Here is a 21,748-nt window from a genome sequence, read left to right as displayed (position 1 = left end):
TAGTCAAAAAAGTGACCATGGGCCGGGCGCCGTGGCTCTCGCCTGTAATCCCAGCACTTTGGGAGGCCAAGGTGGGCGGATCACCAGGTCAGGAGATCGAGACCAGCCTGGCCAACACGGTGAAACCCCGTCTCTACTAAAAATACAAAAAATTAGCCAGACGTGGTGGCGGGCGCCTGTAATCCCAGCTACTCGAGAGGCTGAGGCAGGAGAATCACTTGAACCCGGGAGGCAGAGGTTGCAGGGAGCGGAGTTTGTGCCACTGCACTCCAGCCTGGGCAGCAGGGTGAGACTCCGTCTCAAAAAAAAAAAAAAAAAAAAAAAAAAGAAAAAAGAAATGACCATGTTCTTAGGACGCAGCAACCGTGGTGACCACACAGTCAATACAATAAGCCCCAGCATTCGCTTGGTAATTGAGCTCGTTCAAGCAAAGCTATCTTCATTAGGGACTCCCCCTGTAGAGAGTATGCGCACTTTGATTTCATCCGTCCTCAGACTGACCCTTTGTTCATTATAATGGTATAAAATACACCCCTAGGTGGAGATTTAAGATGTTAATGAGACATGAGACGTATGAACACGCATGTGCGGCTACTGCGCATGTGCACCCAGAGAACCACCCAGAACATGCTTACTGGTAACACCTCTTTTCACCTCCTTAGGAATAATCAGGTAAGACTCCCATAAGGGGAGTCTCCCTCCCGCCAATCTTTTCTGTCTCATCCTCCCCGGCAGCCCACCCTGACTCCTCTCTCTCTCAGAGCATCCTGTCTATTCTGCACTTAACTTTCAAAGTATTCTTTTTCTTTTGCAATAAATTATGCTGCACCCGCTTCACTGTGCGTCTCTTGTTTAAATTTTTTTTTTTTTTTTTGAGACAGAGTTTTGCTCTTGTTGCCCAGGCTGGAGTGCAATGGCGTGATCTCGGCTCACCACAACCTCCGCCTCCCGGTTCAAGCGATTCTCCTGCCTCAGCCTCCCAAGCAGCTGGGATTACAGGCATGTGCCACCACGCCCAGCTAATTCAGTATTTTTTTTAAATAGAGACGGGGTTTCTCCATGTTGGTCAGGCTGGTCTTGAACTCCCAACCTCAGGTCATCCACCCGCCTCGGCCTCCCAAAGTGCTGGGATTACAGGCCTGAGCCACCACACCCAGCTGTTTAAATTCTTTTAAACTAAGAAGACAAGAACGGAGGCATCGTGACACTGCCAACACAAGGTGCTTGTCTTAGTGTGTCTGGGCTACCTATAACAAAATATCGTAAACTGGGTAGCTTATGAAAAACAGAAATTTATTTCTTACAGTCCTGGAGGCTGGGAAGTCCAAGATTAAGGCAGATTTGATATCTGATGAAGGTCTACTTTTTGGCTTATGGATCGTGCCTTCCAGCTGAAGTCTCTCATGGCAGAAAGGGCCAATAAGCTCTCTGGGGTCTCTTTTACAAGGGTACTAATCCCATTAATGGGAGTGGCCTCATGACCTAATTGCCTCCCAGAGCCCCACCTCCTGATATTGTCATGTGGGTGATTAGGTTTCAACATATAAATTTTGGAAAGACAAAAACAGACCATAGCAGTGCTCAAAATGTTTACCATTGATGACTGATTGAGCCTTTTGTTCACTTCAGATTGTAATTTATTATTTCTGAATGAGTTTAATTTGACAGAAATAACTGTTGCCTTTAGCAATTTGCATTTAAGCTTAATTCATCTAGTATTACAAAACTGAGGGTTTTAAATGAGTTCTACTCTTTTTCTGTAATATTTATAACTACGATTACTGACAGCTTACTGTAGCAGTCACTGTTCTAAGTTCTTTACAGACATTTGTCTCATTTTATTCCCATAGCAACCTTTTGTACTAGCACAATTATTTCTATTTTACAGATGAGGAAATTGAAGCTTAGTGAAATTAAATAACTTTCCCAATGTCACACTGCTGATAAATGGAGAATTTCAGCATAGGCCTGTCTGCCCCCAAATATTCTGAGCCTAAGTTTCTACACTTTCCCTGTCAGAAAAATATTCTAGAAAACTTCTTAAAAACAGGTTACTGGGCTCCACTCTGGAGAATCCAAATCAAAATCTCTAGGGGAGCTGTGTGGGAATCTGCATGTTGATAAGAACCCCAGGTAATTTCTGTAATCAAGTTTAGGGAAAACTCAATAATATGATATGGTTTGCCAGTACATATAAGAAGCCCCTGTGTTAAATATTTTTGCCATATATAGTTTGGTTTTCATCACATAAATGTTTCTTGTGGTTCAAAGCTATTAGAGAAACCAAGCTTGCAGATCCACATCTGCAAGGTCTGCCATGCCCCAGTGATATTCAGAATCTAGGGTTGACCTTGTGCTTTCGCTAGCACGTAGAAACATAGGTGTGTGACCCTCACAGCCTCAGAAGGGCCTGGCACCTGGTTTATTGTCTCTCTTTTAAAATTCACAATACAAATGGTCCTGCATTTGCATTTTCACTGGACTTTGCAAATTATGTAGCTGGTGCTGCCCGGGGAATGGATGCAGCAGAAACTGCAGGCCATGAGATACAAAGGATCAGCTCAAGGGAAAAGAGCACAGTCTTTTTTCTTTTCCTTCTCTAAGAATTCGGACAGGGAGGCCGGGCACAGTGGCTCATGCCTGTAATCCCAGCACTTTGGGAGGCCGAGGTGGGCAGATCACGAGGTCAGGAGATTGTGACCATCCTGGCTAACATGGTGAAACCCTATCTCTACTAAAAATACAAAAAATTAGCTGGGCATGGTGGCGGGCGCCTGTAGTCCCAGCTACCTGGGATGCTGAGGCAGGAGAATGGCAGGAGCTTGCAGTGAGCTGAGGTTGCACCACTGCACTGCAGCCTGGGTGACAGAGCAAGATTCCATCTCAAAAAAAAAAAAACAACAAAAGAATTAGAAGAGGCAGGACAAAGCCAGGTGGAAGTGGAGTATGATGGTGTCAGGAGTGTGATGCAGGGTGGTGTGAGGTTGAAGATCTGGATGTTCCCACATCTTCTTAATACTTCTATGGAAGGGAGAGGGAAAAGAGTGTGGAGAAGGGTTTGGGGAGCAGGGGAAGGAGAGAGGCAGCATCCTTGTGCTGGAGAAGTGCTTCCCATGGCTGGCCCACCAAGTTAGATTTCAGGAGGGTTAACTGATTAATAAGAATGCCCCACTATGCTGAACTGTTGGTACAAACAATGTGGTTTGTGCTAAACAACTGCCTTTCTTCTGGGAGTCTGGGTTTTGGGTGCATGCCTGGTAGGGGCTGCCTTTGTGACCAGTACCCAATAAAACCTTGGGTGCTGAGTCTCTAGTGAGCCTCTGTTGTAGACAGCATTTCACACATGATGCCACAACTAATAGCTGGGGGAATTAAGTGTGTTCTGTGGACTCCAGTGGGAGTCTCTTGGAAGCTTGTGTTTGGTTTCCTCTGGACTTCATCTCATGCACGTTTCCTTTTGCTGACTTTGCTTTGTATCCTTTTGCTGTAGTCATACCCATGAGTACAACTATAGCAGTTCCCCCTTATCTGAGAGGAACGAGTTCCAAGGCTGCCTCTCATTTCTCTTCAGCTTCCTCTCTATATCTTCCAACTACACTGGTGTCCAGAAGTTTTAAGCCCTGAGTTGTGGTTACCTTGTGTGTTAGTCCATTTTCATATGGCTGATAAAGACATACCCAAGACTGGGCAATTTACAAAAGAAAGAGGTTTATTGGACTTAGAGTTCCATATGGCTGGGGAGGCTTCACAATCATGGTGGAAGGCAAGGGGAGAAAGTCACATCTTATATGGATAGCAGCAGGCAAAAAGAGAGCTTCTGGAGAGAAACTCCCATTTTTAAAACCATCAGATCTTCTGACAGCCATTCACTATCATGAGAACAGTGCTGGAAAGACCTGTCCCCATGATTCAATCATCTCCCACTGGGTCCCTCCTATAACACATGGGAATTATGGAAGCTAAAAGATGAAATATGGGTGGAAACACAGAGCCAAACCATATTACCTTGGGTTAAAGTAGGTTCAGGATTGCAAATGCCAAGTTCCTTTTTTTTTTTTTTTGAGACAGGTCTTACTTTGTCACTCAAGCTGTAGTGCAGTGGCACAATCATAGCTCACTGCAGTCTTGAATTCCTGGGCTCCAGTGATCCTCCTGCCTCAGCCTCCCAAGTAGTTGGGCCACGGGCATGTGCCACCAAACCTGGTTAATTATTTTATTTTTTTGTAAATACAGGGTCTTGCTATGTTGCCCAGGCTGGTCTCAAACTCCTGGGGCTCAAGCAATCCTCCCACCTCGGCCTCCCAAAGTGCTGGGGTTACAGGTGTGAGCCAATGCACCCAGCCTAATGCTAAATTCTAAGCATACCTGCATGTGTGCATACGTAAGTATATCTGCATGTGTGTGTGTGTGTATGTGTAATTGTGCCAGAAAGGAGGGCAAATCTGTGTGAAAGCAGAAATAGTAGAGACTATATTACTTTATTCCGAAAGTAAGTGTCATCCTTTTTTTTTTCTTGATTCCTTAATAGGTGCTTCTTGTGAAGGGGGAAGGAAACAGGTAGGAAGGAGGCCTGGCTATTAAAGTTAGGTAGGCTAGAGGAGTTAGAGGAGCAGTGGAGAAGTGTTCTCAAATATATAACATCCTGAAAATTGATGTTCCAAACTCAGATACTTTTGTTGGGTTCTCTTATCATAACAACATAATTCGCTAATTTGTAAAGTCATAAGACAAAGTCGGGTTTAATACTGCCCACCACGAAATGACTGGTTTCAGATGTGATATGGCCATCTAAAGTTCAGAGTGGAATCAATAGCTCATTCTCTTTCTCAACCCCTAAGTGAAGGTGTAAAGTTTGCTTTCTTATCGACACTGCCCGGAACTACAGTTTTATTTCCTATGGATGTTCAAGACACAAGCGACTTTTTTGGGGATTATCAGCATAAGCCAAGCAAACTGTCAGTTCTGCAGGCAAAGAAAACACTCAGACTTAATTTTGGAGCATCTATCTATCTGTTGTACTTAAATAATAACAAATGAATTTTTCCATAAAGGAAGGCTATGTCTTTTTGAAATATATAAGTAAAGAATAAATAAAGATACCTAAGTAACAAAGTAAAATACAACAGAGTATCTTCTTGGCTCTAATGTTCAGGTCATTTTCTCTTTTGACAAGTTCAATGCCAAGGTTTAGGTTATTTAATACAAAGTGTTGGTTTTTGCCTTTGTTAAAATGGAGAAAACCGAGGCAGTCAGAGCAAACTCAGTATCTTTGGATAAACCAAAAGAGCAAATCAAGCACCCAGTAACGGGGTTCTCTCATAGCAATCCTGACGTCGTGAACTGGTTACATTATCATCTCAGCTATGTCAATGAGAATACCACAGCAAAATACTTGACATATAAATTTCTTTTCTGTGAAATGAAAGGCCATCTTTTAAGCTCAAGTCCTACTTTGTATCCTATTCAGTATAATATAATTAAATTCTAAAGGTTTAAATACCAGAAAACAAAATCGATTAGGGTAATCTACCAAATTGAATTAAGGAATACTTAATACATTAGACATAGGGATTACAGAAAAGATTATTGAGCCACTTCATTGTCTAAAGCTTGAGTAAGTCAAGAAAACCCTGAAGGAGGTATGGCTAGAATCTTAATTGGCACATGACTTTTTCATAAAAAGATTAAGCAATCCTCTACAAGTCTAGTTGTTCTATTCACCCTTAGACAGTGTGAGAGATTCTTGATTAAGTGTTGGTCTAGCAACTAATATTCCCACCACCCCTTATAGGTTAGCTTGAAGATATTCATTTACTTTAGCACAATTGGCTCTTGGACTTAATGAGAAACTATGGATGGGACACAGGAGTCCCCTTTTCTTCTTAACTTGGGACTAGGCATCTATTCCAAAGAGCAATTTGTTATGCCAGTAGGTAAATGCCAGTTCAAATGCACTATTTCCTATGTACATACACATGGCGACTTTTGAATTAGGATTTATTTTACAGGTAGTAATAGAGGCTGGGCATGGTGGCTCACACCTGTAATCCCAGCACTTTGAGAGGCCGAGGTGGGCAGATCACTTAAGGTCAGGAGTTTGAGATCAGCCTGGCCAATGTGGTGAAACTTCACCTATACTAAAAATACAAAAATTAACTGGGCGTGGAAATTAACTGGGTGTGGTGGCATGCTCCTGTTATCCCATCTACTTGGGAGGCTGAGGCAGGAGAATTGCTTGAGCCCAGGAGGCGGAGGTTGCAGTGAGCCGAGATCACGCCACTGCACTCCAGCCTAGGTGACAGAGCGAGACTCTGTCTCAAAAAAAAAAAAAAAAAAAAAAAAAGAGGTAGTAATACAAATCTTATGTTTTTACAATAGTTTAGTACAATTTTTTTATCCTGATGATAGTAAGACTGCTATAACAGAACTATCAGCAAACTTCAAGAAGAAGCTTATGTTTAAAGTTTTCTTCAGTAAAGTTCCCAAGTTTCCCAGACCTGCACATAGTTAGGAGTGTGAAAAGAAGCTTTATGGAAAGCCAAGTAGGTATCATAAAATAGGTGAACTGGAACACGGTTTTAATTATGCCAGAGTGAGGTAGTTTATAGCTCACAGCTTAGCACCCTAACAATGGACATGAAGTACTGACTAATTGTAATTTTGTCAGTAATAACCTTGAGACATGGATAAACAAAAGTATGGAAGCCTCTACTTGGATCTCTGAAGGGCCAAGGGGGTTAATCTAATTTAGATTAAACAATGAGTTATATAAATTTAATACTTCATGTGCATCTTAATTTAGAATTGCCAAAGAATGTATAAAAACTTAGCAAAAGAGTTTTTTTTTAATCCTTAATTTAAAGATAATCATCAGATTCAAGGGATTTTCAAGGTACAAAGGAATAAAAGTTTTCATTTAGTTAAGATGAATAAATGTGCAAAACCCTGTTGAGGTTAAAAATAGTTGTGCATATAAATCAAGTGATAGTGCTTCTCTTGGACCTTTATAACAATTATTGTCTGTGCAAGTTTTCTGCAATTTATCATGAAGTGCCTCATGCACTGCCTCCATTGTTACTTGGAAATGCTAATTTAAATCATCTTTTGTGGTTATTTAACCATTCATATTAATTTAATGAACACATGTCTGAGTGCCTCAATGTGGCAGGCATTGTCCTTGGCACCATGATACAGACTTCTGCCTGAGATTCCCGTCTACTGTTAGGGACAATGGTGACAATAAAGCAAATAAATAGAGAAAAGAGATTGACTCATAACAGGTCATTAATTTGGTCTTTGTCCCAGGTTCCTGGGACCAAGTTTCTAAACCCTAGGACTTTCTCAAGTGATAGGAGTGTTTGTTATTCATAGTGAGCGCCAGGGACCATGCCTGGGTCCATGCCAATAAGGTGACTCATGGTGGGCCCCTAGGTGGTTTCAGGATGGGGGCTGGGTGTGCCAGGAAGACCAGCCACCTGATAGAGGGTTGAGGCTTTGAGCTTCCTGATATCAGCCTGATCTCCAGGGAGGAGGGGAAAAGGGGGCTAAACATTATATTTAATCATGTGGCCAATGATTTAATCAATCATGATTACAGAATGAGATCCCAATAAATCATTGAACACCCAAAGCCTGGGTGAGCGTCACTGGTTGGTGATGCACACTGGTGTACCAGAAGAGTAGGGAATTCTTGACAGAGCAGGAGCATCACCATCTTGGACAAGCACCGCCATTTTAAAGTTCCCCTTGATAAAAAAATCGCCTAAGTCCAAAGGGCATCAGGCTAAGGTCAGCATGACCATAAACCACAAATGATATCTCCAATCAGAAACATTCCAACCCCAAGATAAACCCCTCCCCAGCCAGAGACATGCCAGCCCCAAGATAATCTCCCCTCTGGCCAGAGAGGCCGGAGAGATGTCAGCCCCAAGATAACCCCCCTCCAACCAGAGACATTTCAACCCTGCAATAAACTTCTCTTCCACACAGAAACAGTCCAAGCCTGTGATAAGCTCTCTCACCCTAAAACCCTTAAATACTCTTAGTCTGTAAGAGAGAGTGCTCTTGACTGAAATCAGCCAGAAGCCCCTCTTAGGTTTGTTCTCCAAAATAAACCTGTCTTTGACTGTTGAGCTGCCTTTTGTGTTTCTTTCCTCTTTCTTTAACTCCTACAATTCTCACTTCACAGGGAGAGGACATGCAAGCTCTTGTCTCTGAAGCTTCCCCCGACCTCACCCTGTGCATCTCTTCATTTGGCTAGACTTGATTTGTATCCTTTATAACAAAACTCTGATTATAAGTATAGCACTTACCTGAGTTCTGTGAGTCATTCTAGTGAATTATTGACCCTGAAAGAATAGTAGCAACCCCAAATTTGTAGTCAGTTGGTCAGAAATGTGAGTGGCTTGAGAGCCACCCAAGTTTGCAGCTGGTGTGTGAAGAGAAGGCTGTTTTGTTGGGGACTGTGCTTTTAACTTGTGAAGGCTGTGCTAACTCAGGGCAGTTGGTGTCAGAATTGAGTTGTGCATTGCAGAGATAATTCCAGGGAGTGGCACATTCTATGAAGAAAATTAAGAAGGGCTGTAGGGAGGTGTGAGTGGCTATGTCAGCTGAGTGGACAAAGAAGTCCTCTTAGAAGAATTAACATCGAAGCTGAGATCCACATGATGAGAAGGAAATGAGAGATTGCTTATGTGGAAGGACATTGTCCCTGGGGACTCAGAAAATGCAGTTGAGCTCTAATCAGGTATTGTGGCCAGCACCTCCAAATTAGGAGAAGCTAAATGGCTGGATGCTACACTGTCACCTGAGACTAGGCCTGTCTTCTCCAAGAAAAGGCATGAAGTCAAGGGTACAGGGACAGGAACATGGAGCAGGAAGATGGGCAGAGCTTTTCTGATATCAAGCCTGCCACTTTTTCCACAGCAAATGGATATAAGAATGATGATGTTGGCTAACACTTAGAGAGCTCTGACTATGTGCAAGGACTGGGGACAATCAGGCTTTACTGGAGCAAACTCAGTGATGTTACAATTATTCTCATTTGCAGCTGAGGTAAGGATCTGGGTGAGAAGTAGAAGCCCAGAGAGGTTAAGGAACTTGTCCAAAGGCACATGGTTAGTGAGGGAGAAAGTTGGGATTTGGACCCAGGTGGGTGTGATTCCAAAGTCTGTGCTGTTCACCATGCTGCTATGTAAGGTTGCTGGCCTAAGCGTGGCCTGTTGGCTAGCAGCAGCCACACCTTGTAGCATCTCAGGTCCTGCTCCAGACTTCCTGAATCAGAATCTGCATTTTAACAAGATCTCAGGTGGTTTCTAAGTACATTAATGTTTGTAAAGCACAACTACATGAGGCCTCTCAGCTTTCCACTCAAAGTCCCACTAGGAATCCAAACTTCCATCCTAATCTCCTCCACTTTGTTAAAATTTTCACCCTCACTGAAACATAAACTGATCCAGGATCAGAGCCATGTCTCGTTTTTCTCAATAAAGTCTCTTAGGTTGAATTTGTTTTCAGGAGCTGATCCTGGAATAGGTTAGACTCTATTTCACTCCGTGTTTCTGTCACTTCCAAAGTATGCTCCACACTGTGGATGTTTAGATCCAATAGGCCAAGACTAATTCTCTTCAAATGGTGAGAGATTGGTCAGAGAGTTCAGCAGAGAAACCAAATTACGGGGATTCAATTTGCAGAGAAATCTCCCGCCTGCATCTGGGGATGCTGTTTCTTCTGCAGAGAGTAACAAGTTCAGGAAGGGAGAGGCACCCAGAGAGAGGACATGGAGGAGGCAGAACCCATCCAGCCACACTGAGGACTAAACTCTGATTGTTTTTTTTTAAGTCTTGCCCAAATTCCTATCTAAGAGGTGTGGGGAGTCATGCCCTACAAATAATAAATTTTCATCAGATGGGTTTTATTTAACCTATATATTGTGACTTATTTTCCAACCTGACTCATATAACATTATGAGACAAGGAAGAAAATCAAAATATTTTACCCCAAAGCATGTTTCTTAGCCATATTTTGAAATGGGCCTCCAAAGCTGTTCTTTGTGGGGGAAATTTTGCATCTGTAAAGAATCTCTATTAACATAGCTAGATCTCTTTCTTCTAGACCCTCCCAATCCTAAAGAGATTAAGATCTGAATAGGAAACTTTGTCATCTATTGTCTCTAAGGGCATCCACTATAAGACTTCAAAAGAACTTTGGTATCCACAATCTTTTATCTTAACATGAACATTCCATTTCTATCAGTCTCAGGTCTTTAGACAAACTCAACAAATTGTCAATCACAAAATATTTAAATTCACCTATAGCCTGGAACCCCTACCCCCACCACCCTCCGCTTTGAGTTGTCCCGCCTTTCTGGACCAAACCAACGTATTTCTTAAATGTATTTGATTGATGTCTCATACCTCTCTAAAATGTATAAAACCTGCCAGGCGTGGTGGCTCATGCATGTAATCCCAGCACTTTGGGAGGCCGAGAGGGGTGGATCATCTAAGGTCAAGAGTTCGAGGCCAGCCTGGCCAACATGGTGAAACCCTGTCTCTACTAAAAATAAAAAAATTAGCGGGGTGTGGTGGCATGTACCTGTAGTCCCAGCTACTTGGGAGGCTGAGGCAGGAGAATCACTTGAACCTGGGAGGCAGAGGTTGCAGTGAGCCAAGGTCATGCCACTGCACTCTAGCCTGGGCAACAGAGCAAGACTCTGTCTCAAAAAATAAAATATAAAATAAAATAACATAAAATAGATAAAATGTATAAAACCAAGCTGTGTCCCAACCACCTTGGGCACACATTCTCAGGACTTCTTGAGGGCTGTGTCATGGGCCATGGTCACTCATATTTGGCTCAGAATAAATGTCTTCAAATATTTTACAGAATTTGACTCTTTGTTGACAACACAGACCTGCAGAACCAAGTCTGGCATCAGCTCATTCACGTTAATTCCTCTGTGGCATGTGACGATTCCTCCAAATACAAATGGTATTTGAAAGGACAGGTAAGAAAATCAGTCACACGCACACAAATATCATGTCAATTGTAAAACAGAAAGACTTTTTTCCAAACTGTAACCAATTTTACGTCCCATTTCAACAGTGAGTTTGCAGCTGAAGTTGAGTAACTGAGTAATCTTAAAGAGCTGATTTCCTTCGCAGGAATTGTCCATTTCTTCTAATTGTTTAAAGTCACTCTGGAATCTGGAAGATAAAAGGGAAGGCTTCCATCTACTTGTAAAAGCTACAGCATTTGTAATTGGACCTGACCTCAGAAATGCCCGGTGGGCTCAATCCATTAATGGGAGTCAGCCTAGGTTGTGATCCTGAAAATTTCACTATTTCTGCTTGTTCTTAGACCCACTACTGCTTCTCAGTTGTTAGTAGCCCATGGCAATAGCAGTGAAGGCTGGGACATTAAGAAAAAATAGAGCTTAATGATTTCTACACATCACTCCAGGGCGTTTTTGCTTTTGTTTTTTTTTTCATGCCTTCTATTATCAACCCTAAAAAGTTAAAAAAAACCAACCACACACACACACACACACACACACACAAACAAAAAACATAACAAAAAAACAGAAGTCATCAACTTTCTGCCACTGACCCTCACTTCTGTGGCTGTAGGTTTTCTATCAAGATTTCCAGATGATTGATCTCATGATGGAGTAAGATTAAGAGTTCTGATACCCACTCAGCTGTTGATAGGCAGAGACCCAAGGTCATTGTTCCAGGTCAAAGTTTCCTCTTTGGGTGTCAACATTCATCTTGGCCCTGGGGAATTACTAAGGATGAAGGCTGTATTAAACTGTTTCTCGATGTGCTCTGCTGTATACCAGCTCTGAGACCTTGGGCCAGTCACTTAACCTCTCTAGACCCAGACCCCTGATCTGTAAAATGAGAGGTTCTGCACTGGTTGATCTCTAAGACGCTTCCACTGTTAGGACACTGTGATTCTTGGTCTTGTTTTGAGCTATACGTGAGGCAAAAATATACAGCCACATTTTGTGGGAAAAAATGGGGAAAGAAAAACAATTTAGAGCATCTTCTCAGGAAATAGTTACTGGGAATGATCAAACGTTACCCATTCTGAGATTTGTGATGTTAATGCTCTTTTTAAAAATCATGTATGAGCCCATCATGATGTTGCAAAAGCATGAGGGCTGAAGACCAAACCCAAGTAAATCGAATGTATTATAATTAATGGCCAGGGCAGGAATGGAGAGACAGAGAGAAAGTGGTCCTCTATGCTGGTAATACACCTATTATCATCCTACATAGATTGCCTGAGGCAACCTCTCTTTTCTGGGTGGGGCTGAATCAGAGATAAGCTTTCAGAACAATAGTAGGGAAGCAAAGTGAGCCAGAAATCAGTACACAGTGTAATGAAAACTTTAAAAAAGAAAAGGCAGAGGCAAGAGCTGTACCCAAGCAGGAAATGAGGGGTCTAGGAAAACAGGGTCTAAAATCCAGATTTCATGTAGGAAGTCAGTTGGCCCAGCACCTGTGGCTCCATTAGAGAACTCCAAAGCCCCAGCGCCCTGAGATTTCTCTGCTTGGGGTGATGAGTGCCCTAAGGGCAGAAGCTGAGTTTCAGGCCAAACCTGGCATTATCACTCTCCCTCTGCTCTGATGTATTATTTTTCTTCCTCATTCAACAAACATTTGTTGAATCCTTTCTAGGTGTTAGGCATGTGATACTACTGAGAATATACAAGTGAATTAGATTTTGTTTTTACTTTTAAGAAGTACACTGTTAGGGGAGCCAAAATAGATGCAGTAAGTGGAAAAAGATCAGTTGTTTGATGACTTGTCAAAAAGAGGGGTGCAAAATCAAGGGGGATCTTTTCTCCACTAAGCATGGGACTGGGAGCAGTTTTTGTCACCTATCCTTTTTTTATCTCTGCTTTCAGAACCAGCCCTTCATGTAAGAGTAAGTTAGAAGACACAGCTTGCCAGTGTAAGAGCCAATGGAATCTTCCCCTTTGCCCTCTGAAGATTCGCAAAAAAAAAAAAAAAAAAAGTAAAAACATAAATCAACTCCCAAGAGTCAGATTAAATGGAGAAAAGGCATACATATTGATTTAACATGTACATGTGGAGAACCAAGGAGAGCCCCAGAGGGATTACCACTCCCCACCCCCCACCCCCAGTGGGGGTTCAGAAGCTTATTTACCATCCTGGAAAAATAGATTATGGGAGTGGAGAGAAGAGGAATTCTGTTGAGGGGATTACCAGAGAGAATAAATGGATCTAGGAACAGAGATGAACTTGTAAATAGTTATTTATTTATTTATTTATTTATTTATTTATTTTTTGACAGAGTCTTGCTCTGTCACCCAGGCTGGAGTACAATGGCGTGATTTCGGCTCACTGCAACCTCTGCCTCCTGGGTTCAAGCGATTCTCATGCCTCAGTCTCCTGAGCAGCTGGGATTACAGGTGCGCACCAACATGCGCAGCTGATTTTTGTGTTTTTAGTAGAGATGGGGTTTCACCATGTTGGCCAGGCTGGTCTCAAACTCCTGACCTCAAGTGATCCATCCGCCTCAGCCTCCCAAAGTGTTGGGATTACAGGCATGAACCACTGCGCCCAGCCAGTAAATAGTCCTTTTGACAGTGAAAGTGAAGTTCCTCTCCTCCCCTGCTCCCAAAACCTGTTTTTCCAGGATGATATATAAGCTTCTGAACTCCTTTGGGGGGTGAGAAATCATTCTGTGATTCTCCCTGTAGTAAAATTTGCATGCCTTTTCTTCTATTAACCTGCCTTGTGAGTTGGTTTTTCAGTGACCCTTCACAGGGCAATAGGGATGTTTCCCTAGACCCCCTCATTAGCAAACAGCTAGACCCAGCCACTCCCCGAGAGCATAAGAGATTTTTTTTTCTTCCCATTTTTATCCTAACATCAGCTCTGATTGAATAGAGTAGAAAGGAGGACTTTGGAACTAGGTAGATTCCAGTCTGAACTCTGAAACTTATTGGCAAAGCACCTAATAACATTGTTTCTGTTTCCTCATCAGTACACTGGAGTCAAAGGTACTGTGAACCAAAACTAAAAATCTAAGCACCAACTCCATCTCGAAATAAGGCTAAGACCTGCTGGACTTCATTCCCAGGTGGTTAGAAGTTCTAAGTCACAGGATTAGATAGGAAGTTGGCACAAGATACAGGTTACAAAGACCTTGCTGATAAAACAGGTTGCAGTAAAGAAGCCGGCTAAAACCCACCACAACCAAGATGGCGACAAGAGTGACCTCTGGTTGTCCTCACTGCCATACTTCCACCAGGGCCATGACAGTTTACAGACTGTAGCAATAAGATACCAAATTTTAACCTGACTCTAGCATAACATCACATGACAGAAAAAGGAAGAAATAAAAAGATTTCACACCCAAACATGTTTCTTTGCCATATTTTGAAATGACCCTGCTAAGCAGTTTTTTTGTGGGGGAAAATTCACATCTATGAATAATCTCTATCAACATAACTAGATCTTTCCCCTTCCAGGCCCTCAAAATCCAGAAGAAATTTACTGAGAGTCTAAGCACCTTTTAAAGGTCTAAATGGAAACATTTGCCATCTATTGTCTCTAAGGGCAGCCACCTAGGAGACTTCATCTACATAATAAGTACCTTGACCTCCACAACCCCTTATCTTAACCCAGATGCTCCTTTCTATCAATTCCAGACCTTCAGATAATAACTTAACTCTTTTAACCAATCTCCAACCAGAACATTTTTAAATCCACCTATGACTTGTAAGCCACACTCTCACATTGCTTCTAGACTAAACCAATGTATACCTCACATATATTGATTGATGTCTTATGTCTTTCTAAAACATATAAAAACCAAATTGTAGCCCTTGGACACATGTTCTGAGGACCTCTTGAGCCTGTACCTTGGGCCATGGCCACTCATCTTTGGCTTAAATAAACCTCTTTAAATATTTTACAGGGTACTTTTTTATTTATTTATTTTTATTTTTATTTTTTTTTTGTCAACAGTATCACCTATTAAGGGATGTTGAGAGAATCAAGAGAGAAAATGAATCGAAAGTGATTGGTTTAGAACCTGCATGCTAGTCCCTTTTCCTTTCTTGCCTTTTCCAAGCCTGAAGCAGCAAAGAAAAAGGAGATAAATAAATTTTGAACTCTTCTCTGGAGCCTGGAGAGCTGCTTCCTCTCAATAAGGAGAATTGCTTCCTGAACCCAGATGAGAAGTGGTTTCTCCTTCAGTCCCTATTCACTGCACAGAGTATGTGGCCTATGTATGCTCGTGGGTATTATCTTCTGAAAGAGAGTTACTGCCATGTGCGCCCCTGTTGGAAATGTTTCATTGGTACAGAAACAACGTGGAGACCGAGGCATTGCCTTATTGCCTTGTCTGTTTTTGCTTTTTTTTTTTTTTTTTTTGAGGTGGAGTCTCACACTGTCACCCAAGCTGAAGTGCAACAGCACGATGTTGGCTCACTGCAACTTCCACCTCCCGGATTCAAATGATTCTCCTGCCTCAGCCTCCTGAGTAGCTGGGATTACAGGCGGCCACCAGCACACCCTGCTAATTTTTGTGTTTTTATTAGAGACAGGGCTTCACCATGTTGGCCAGGCTGTCCTCGAACTCCTGACCTCAAGTGATCTGCCTGCCTCGGCTTCCCAAAGTGCTGGGATTACAGGTGTGAGCCACCATGCCTGGCCATCTTATCTCTCCTGTCAAGGGAATGGCAGGTTATGATCCTGGTTTGTAAAATTCTTGCAAAAAAAAGATAATGGCCTTCCTATTAGTCTGGCACATAAAATAACTTTCCCAAAGAACAAATATTCACCATCATCTTGATGAATCTCCATCAGTATCTTTATTTGTTTACACACAGCTTTGTCTGTCCTCTGAGTGTTCCAGAACTAGATGTGTCACTACTGCCTTGCCTTTCCTTCCTTGTCTCTCTGGGTCACCTCCGTAGCTCTGAGAAACTGAATTTGCATCTTAATCCTGCAGTGTGACTCCAGTGCTCTGTCTGCCAGCTTCACAGCCAGTGTTTCTGGCATGGCCTTGGAAGAAGCCCTTGAATAAGACATTTTCTGGAATTGTTTCTACCCAGGTTTACTGAAAACATTTGATTTTTTTTTAAACCTTTCCTATGGTTCTGACAAACTTGCTCCAAAGTATTTATTTACAGTCCCCGTATCCCTAGAGGAGTACAGTAAAGTTTTACATCATATGGCTGAAAATAAAGCAATTGTCTAGCAAATACTATATTCCTACAATTAATTATATTCGTCATATATAGTATGAGATTTCTACCTCCAAAAAGTGGAAGTCTTTTATTTTTTTAACTAATTTCATGAAAGTATGAAAGTTTGGCAGCCATCTGCAAAGATGATTACATATTTCAATTTGAAACAATGTCTACCTGATCATTGATTTTTAATCTTCCAAATGGTTCTTTTGTTTCTTTCTAGGTGCGTACGTGTAGTTTAAGAGGGGGATTTGTATTTTCACAGCACTTTTTATTTCAGCGAACCATCCGTCACCACTCATACTTTCAGTGTCATTTGATTTGAAGTTTCCATTTGGATAGGCTTTGCAAAAAAGAAAGAATGAAAGAAAAAAAAAACCACACACACACACACACACACACACACACACCTGTAAGGACATAAGCATTTCACAGAACTATATGGGAAATGCAGCAGATCTGAGTGGCATGCACTGATTTTCTTTAGCATTTTGATTATATGGGTCTGAGTTCAGACGAATCAAAGCAAAAATGAAACTCAGCAGGCATGATGAAATCAACCAAAACTGCTGAAATGGTTGGGCAGAGCCCACAAAAATGGTTTCATTCTCTGAGACTAGAGGATGGAACTGGGGCCTAATTCAAGAGGCAGGTTCTGAGGGCTGTCATCACTCAACTCCTCAAACTGAAAGATATTTTTCAACAATAGGTTTAGTCTTTATAAGCTGTAGGTTTGAACAGACTTCAGTAAATGACACAAAGTAAGTTCATCTCTATAAACAGCAGGAAAAATGCACTATGCCACTTTTTAAATTACATAAATGTAATCCCTATAATGTTTGTACTATGTTGGTAACTGACATGTGTGGCTGAGGCTAGTGGTGGGATAAAACCCAAATGAAACATTTTAAGGCATTTTAATTTAATCAACAATTGGCTCAGGGATGAGAGTACAGTTGGGAAAACAACTCTGACCTTGTACAGACACAGCTATTTCTATTCTCTGTTCCATCTTTTGTCCTGAAGCCTCTCAGAGGCTGAAAGTATGCTCAGAAATTTGCTGTGTAAATGCCATTTTCAAAGAAGTATTTTCTTCATTTGTAAGGCAGAAAGACTAATATTTGCCCTGCCCAATTCACAGGAGGCTGTGTGTAACCAGGGAGATCACATATGTATAAAAACTGGAAAATGCAGTTGATACGGAACACTCTATCACTACTGTGTCCATGTGAGAACATTCTTTTTTTTTTTTTTTTTTTTTTTGTTAAGATGGAGTCTTGCTCTGTCACCCAGGCCGGAGTGCAGTGGCACAATCTCTGCTCACTGCAAGCTCCGCCTCCCAGGTTCACACCATTCTCCTGCCTCAGCCTCCCGAGTAGCTGGGACTACAGGTGCCCGCCACCACGCCCGGCTAATTTTTTTTTTTTTGTATTTTTAGTAGAGACGGGGTTTCACCGCGTTAGCCAGGATGGTCTCGATCTCCTGACCTCGTGATCCGCCCGCCTCGGCCTCCCAAAGTGCTGGGATTACAGGTGTGAGCCACCGCGCCCGGCCGTGAGAACATTCTTAAAGGGAACATGGGCTTCACAACTGCTGACTGCTACCAGGCAATTCGAGTACCAGGTAGGATACTTATTCTCGGTTGCCTGGAAAACAATGAGATTTCTCTCTCTCACACAGACACAAAAGTATTCTACATAATTGCCATTAACTGTTGACTGCTTTTGCTTTCATGAAATATCAGGTAAAATATTATTTAAAAGAGTTTCTCTGAAGTTACAGTAATTATAAGTATACTGAGATCATGTAATGTGAATAAATAAGTTTATTTTGATAATAGGTTCTAAAAATGTTTCTAAGAACAACAGCCCTAGAATAGAAATGCAAATGAACAATGACCACTATACTTTTCTCATTTTCTCTTTTTTAAAAAGAAAGTCTGCCTGAAATACACCTTCTATGGCTCCTTTCTTGATTATCAGTTGCAATAATTTTATATTACAAAGCCTAAAATTAAATTATAAGCCAATTTGTGTTTTCCAATATTTTTTCATGTTCATTTCACATAACATGGTTTGAACTTCTTTTTCTTACTTTCCAGAGCACCTAGGAAAGTTCTAGATGAATGACAGCCTCACAATAAATTCTTCCTGAGGCTGATTTATTAAGAACAAATAAGCTAATATTAATTATAAAGTGCTCATATACTGCAGCATCTACTATTTAATGTTCCTAGAATCTTTTTTTTAAGAATGGTAATAAAAGTTTGCAGAAGGCTGGGCACAGTGGCTCACACCTGTAATCCCAGCACTTTGGGAGGCCGAGGCGTGTGGATCACCCGGGGTCAGGAGTTCGAGACCAGTCTGTCCAACATGGTGAAACCCCGTCTCTACTAAAAGTGCAAAAATCAGTCGGGCATGGTGGCGTGTGCTTGTAATCCCAGCTACTTGGGAGGCTGAGGCTGGAGAATCACTTGAACCTGGGAGGCGGAGGTTGCAGTGAGCTGAGATCGTACCGCTGTACTCCAGCCTGGGCGACAGAGCAAGACTCCGTCTCAAAAAAAGAAAATAAAGCAAAACAAAACAGACAAGAAAAAAAGTTTGCAGAAGTGGAATTTTTATAAATATATTAAGTTAATCAATTATTTAATGGGAACACTTTCTCAAATTCAAAGCTAACTTCAGAATTAGAATCGGTAAGCCAGAAATATTTTACCTTTATATGCTAATGAGTAATTATTCCATAACAAAAATGATTTTCATTAGACAACACATGACAGTCTTCCTAATTTTAGAGCAACACTGTATTTCATTTCTTATAATATTTGTTTAAAATGCATATATACTATTGCTTTAGGTGAATATCCTTTTCTTAGGCAGTTGAAATTAAATTTCTTCTGCACAGTTTTACTAAGCCTGACTAAACAAATGAAGTATTATTGTTCAATAAGTGCGTGATAAAGATCTTGACCAGTCTCAATTTTACAGGTAGCATTTTCAATGTAAGTAGAGAAAAATCAGTACAAAGTCCATCTCCCTTTTGTATTAGGAACATGGCATTGCTTAATTGCTGACAACCTCAATTTACTAAGTAGGAAACTGTTAAGCATGCATCATTACGTTCCTTAGGACATCTCTTTGAGTGGACGCTATAATTTATTATCAAGTAGGTCTAATTCTCCCTTGATTTACAAAGTGGTAATAATATTCCATCTCACATAATGCTTTGCTAGGAGGAATCCAAATCCAGGCACTAAAATATTCACAGCCTCCCCAGGAGGAATTGGGATGTGTGTGGTATTCTCATTACCACAGCTAAGACAATGGAGGGGTTTGCCTGAGGTCTCCTGGCAAGTCAGCTATTTGGGGAGCAGAATCTAGGTCTCCGGATGCCTAGCACACAATCACAAAAGCATAGAACTCTCAGGAGAGTTGCCTAAACCACGTGTCCCAGAAAGAAGAGAGAAAACGATGCCCAGGATGCTCGCTGCAGAATCCCCACAGTGCAACCATGTCACTGTTTCCCTCTGACTGCACATAAAGCACACCGAAGGGTATCAAACAACATAAAATCCTAATGGTGCCCTTAATTAGGAGGGACCATCACTCCAACTCCCTTACCTCCCACTGTCCAAGCTAGCAGCCCCAAATTCCTCTCTGGGGTGACTAATCTTGAAAGCAAGACATAGTTAACAGAAACAATCTTTGGCTTACAAGGGACCATCAAGCTCTGATGATGATGAAGTTTGATAGCAATAATGTCAAACTTTATATGGCCATAATCCAAGTTTACAATGATACATTAAGCCATAATGCTACTATTTATATCACCATAAACTCGGTTTATGGTGATATAAATAGTCATCCTAATGGCATTAACAGCAGCACTCCGTGGAATCACAGCTGTTGAGTACTGCATTTATGCTATTAGCATTGCTATTAATATCATCATAAACTTAGGTAGTCAAACTTGTTACATATGAATATAGAGGAAAGATGGATATCCCCACTTTATGCCCAAATCTCGGCTCCTGTACTGGAGGCTTTATGGCTGTTCCCCTCCTCTAAGTTATCTCTGCTTGGGTTGTGTGATGTTTCTGTAGGAGCTACAGGAGAGCAAGTCTGATTGCAGGCATCTTCTGAGGAGCCTGGAAACAATATTTAAATGGGATAAGAAAGTGCAAGCCATAGCTGCTATGCAAACTTACTGTCTCCTTGGCAGCGCAGAGGACCTACGCTCAATTTGGCTTCTGAGCCTTGACGGTCAGTATCTCCAACCACCACTTGGCTCACTGGCAGGTGATCTTTGTATGATAAGAAACCAGCATCCTTCCTCCTGGATCACAGGGAAAGACAGAAAAAGAATGAGGAGGCTGCATTAGACATATGAATTTTCTGCTAGTTGCTTACGTTGTCTAATGATGACATTTCAGTAATCGTTTGGAAGTTTACTAAGTAAAGCCACAGTTAAAGAGTTGTTCTCTCTCTTCCATAGGTGGTCTCATAGCACATTGCTCAGAAGCCCTTCTGGCATCTTCATCTTCTGGAAAACAGAAGCGACACCCTGATTTCCAGAGATTCACAACCATTATGCTGCGTACTCTTTTAGGTAGAGAGTACACCACAGCATGTCAAACCCTGAGCACACATGCAGAGTTTGCTGTTGTCATGGAATCAGAAGTTCAACAAAGTCAACCTGGTCGCTTGAATAATATGTGAAACAAAACCCTATTTGAAGCAGTTCCTTCAGAAGTTTTCTTCCCTATTGTACATGAGTTAAATAAGGGACACCTTTTGTTCCTTCCTCTCTTCTTGTTTAGTTTAACAACTGGAACAGTTTATGTGAAGTTTCCAGCACAGAACAGGTATTCAATAAGTGTCTATTTCCATCTACAATGAAGAGTGGAGCCGAGATTTGAGCCCAGTTGGCTTTCCTCCTGAGTTTGTTCTTCTGTTGACTCTATATTTATCTTGTTTCAGGTCTCCCAAGTCTACCCTGTATCCATCCTAAAGGAGGAAAGACAAGGCTAGTTGCAAAGTACTGACTCTAGAATGGAGCATAGAAACCCAGGAGGGGTTCCTGGAGATGGGCTTAAGATGAGTTATGTGCAGTGAGTTTTGGAGCCCGTGCAGCACAGATTTCACCTTCATGGAAAATCAGTGGCCTTTTGTCCTCTTTTTCTGCTGCTGTGGCTGAGGGATCCCTCATTTGGGAGTGAATGGGTGGGAGGCACAAAGCAGTGTGATGTCATTCCTCAAATTTACCCTTTCAGATGATTTTTTACTATTCAGTCTGAATAGAAATAACAATTTTGAAATTGCACATAGAACTCATCAGAAAAATCCCACCCTGATTTTTGGATGACAGGAGAATGAGACAGACAGTTCAATGATGTAAAGATTTATCATTCATGTCTCTTAGCAAATAGTGCAGGGAATGGAGAGGAACCAACTTGGAGGCCTGTCTTGAAAATGCTATGCAGTGTGGAGCAGTTACTTGTACCTCTGACCTTCT

General features: G+C 41.6%; 1 protein-coding gene across 1 annotated transcript in view; it reads right to left on the bottom strand.

The window, feature by feature from the left end:
* CNTNAP2 (contactin associated protein 2) overlaps nucleotides 1–21,748 on the bottom strand; it is a 2,304,198-nt gene that overhangs the window by 422,568 nt on the left and 1,859,882 nt on the right. Inside the window, exon 15 of the mRNA NM_014141.6 lies at nucleotides 20,442–20,569. Within this exon, the coding sequence (NP_054860.1) occupies nucleotides 20,442–20,569 (128 nt within the window). The remainder of the gene's footprint in view (nucleotides 1–20,441; nucleotides 20,570–21,748) is intronic.

Source organism: Homo sapiens, chromosome 7 (genome assembly GCF_000001405.40).
Source record: "Homo sapiens chromosome 7, GRCh38.p14 Primary Assembly".
NCBI lineage: Eukaryota > Metazoa > Chordata > Mammalia > Primates > Hominidae > Homo > Homo sapiens.
Note: the sequence above shows the minus strand (reverse complement) of the source record. Positions and strands in the feature narration are given on the sequence as shown.